The 2,064-nt window shown below is 55.7% G+C and overlaps 1 annotated feature.

Moving 5' to 3' along the window:
- Positions 568-1,069: an enhancer, noted in NCBI's record as "H3K27ac hESC enhancer chr8:142955329-142955830 (GRCh37/hg19 assembly coordinates)". NCBI's record gives its function as "activates a minimal SCP1, AML or CMV promoter by ChIP-STARR-seq in primed H9 embryonic stem cells {active_cell/tissue: H9 hESC(primed)}" and the evidence as "EXISTENCE:reporter gene assay evidence [ECO:0000049][PMID:30033119]".

Consider the following 2,064-nt stretch of genomic DNA (forward strand, 5'->3'; position numbering starts at 1 on the left):
TCTGGCAGAGAGAAAATGGGGCTTGCATTGAATTTGGCCTAAAGACACCACACATGGCTGTCGTCTCTGGACATCACTGAGCCTGGGTGCTGCCGTGAAGGGTGGAGAGCAGCCTTCCTGGCCTGGACTGTGTTCCCCGCCCACCTGTGCAGGCGCCAGACAGTGGAGTCAGGCTGCAGCTCCTGGCTCCAGGAGAGGAGAGGTTTCTGTTAATGGACACAGGGAAATAATATGTGAGATAACAACAAAATACTAACAAGGAGGGCAGGGGAAGTTGCAGCTAATCTCAGATGATGGAATAGAGATGGACAGGTTGTAGCCTCCAAGGTCACACAATATCAGGGTGAGCACCAGAGGCAGGTGAGAGTGCTTGTGGTGGGCACGGTGTATAGGTGAGAGTGATGGGCATGGTGTGTAGGTGAGGGTGGTGGTGGTGGGCACGGTGTATAGGTAAGGGTGATGGGAATTGTGTGTAGGGGAGGGTGGCGATGGGTGTATAGGTGAGGGTGATGGGAACTGTGTGTAGGGGAGGGTGGTGACGGGCATGGTGTATAGGTGAGGGTGATGGGAACTGTGTGTAGGGGAGGGTGGTGACGGGCATGGTGTATAGGTGAGGGTGATGGGAACTGTGTGTAGGGGAGGGTGGTGACGGGCATGGTGTATAGGTGAGGGTGATGGGAACTGTGTGTAGGGGAGGGAGGTGATGGGCACAGTGTGTAGCTGAGAGTGATGGGCACAGTGTGTAGGTGAGGGTGATGGGAACTGTGTGTAGGGGAGGGTGGTGACGGGCACGGTGTATAGGTGAGGGTGATGGGAACTGTGTGTAGGGGAGGGAGGTGATGGGCACAGTGTGTAGCTGAGAGTGATGGGCACAGTGTGTTGGTGAGGGTGATGGGAACTGTGTGTAGTGGAGGGTAGTGATGGGTGTATAGGTGAGGGTGATGGGAACTGTGTGTAGGGGACGGTGGTGATGGGCACAGTGTGTAGGTGAGGGTGATGGGAACTGTGTGTAGGGGAGGGTGGTGATGGGAACTGTGTGTAGGGGAGGGAGGTGATGGGCACAGTGTATAGGTGTGCAGTCCCTCCGCGGCCAGCTGCCCTTCTGGTCACCACTTACAGGTGTGCCCTGCATCTACCTGGTTCCCACGTGGACGTCCCTATCTGAGACACCTTTTGGACCAACTCTGGACAGACCCTCTCCAAAATCAAAGGTGCGCTGGGCTGCTAACCTGATCCAAGACGAGATCAATCTAGTGAGCTCAATTGATCACCAGGATTGGAGAGGCAGCAGGATTGGAGAGGCAGCAGGATTGGAGTATAGGTTCCACCTCTTCACAAGAGCCCCTACCAGCACCCCTGTCCTGGGCCTCACGTACACTCAAATGAGCAGCTGGGCTTGGTGACCTCTGAGCCACCTGAGTTTTCTGTCCATGTCTGTTGACACAGCACTGGGCTTTTGCCCTGCTCATTGGGCCAGGTCACGAATAGGGGCTGCCCTGGATTCTCTGTGCCTTGACCTGCTGCTAGCAAGCAGCTTTGTCTTTTGGTCAAGACCCAGCCTCAAGTGTCTGAGAGTCTGAGTCTGTGATTTTCTGGCTGGCACCCTTGGCAAGCCACTTCACTGCTCTGAGCTTTGGTTTTACCATCTGCAAAATGGAGTTATTGAACAGAACCTACTCACAAACAACCCTTCAGGCTGGAAGTGGCTGCAGGGGGCTTGAGCCTGTGTGGTGGCCCCCACTGCTGTGTTCTTGTTGTGGAGACACCTGCGTCCCAGCCCTGGCCCCTCACAGGACGTGTGACCTAGGACAAACAGTCTATGCTCTCTGAGCCTCATTATAAAATCGGGGGAGTACAATCTGACCCATGCAGCCTCCTTTCATGCCCAAATTCACCCCAGGTGTCAAGTGCCCATCATTGAAGGATCCTCGTCCAGGTTCTGTTGATACCACCGAGGTGGAGTGGGCCTGCACCTGCCTCACTCAGCACACGCCGTCCTGGGGGCGCACAGAGGTGCTGGCACGAGGCAGAGCGGGGAAGGGGCAGGAGATCCAAGGAGATCTG

The sequence above is a fragment of the Homo sapiens genome, chromosome 8 (genome assembly GCF_000001405.40).
Source record: "Homo sapiens chromosome 8, GRCh38.p14 Primary Assembly".
NCBI classification, from domain to species: domain Eukaryota; kingdom Metazoa; phylum Chordata; class Mammalia; order Primates; family Hominidae; genus Homo; species Homo sapiens.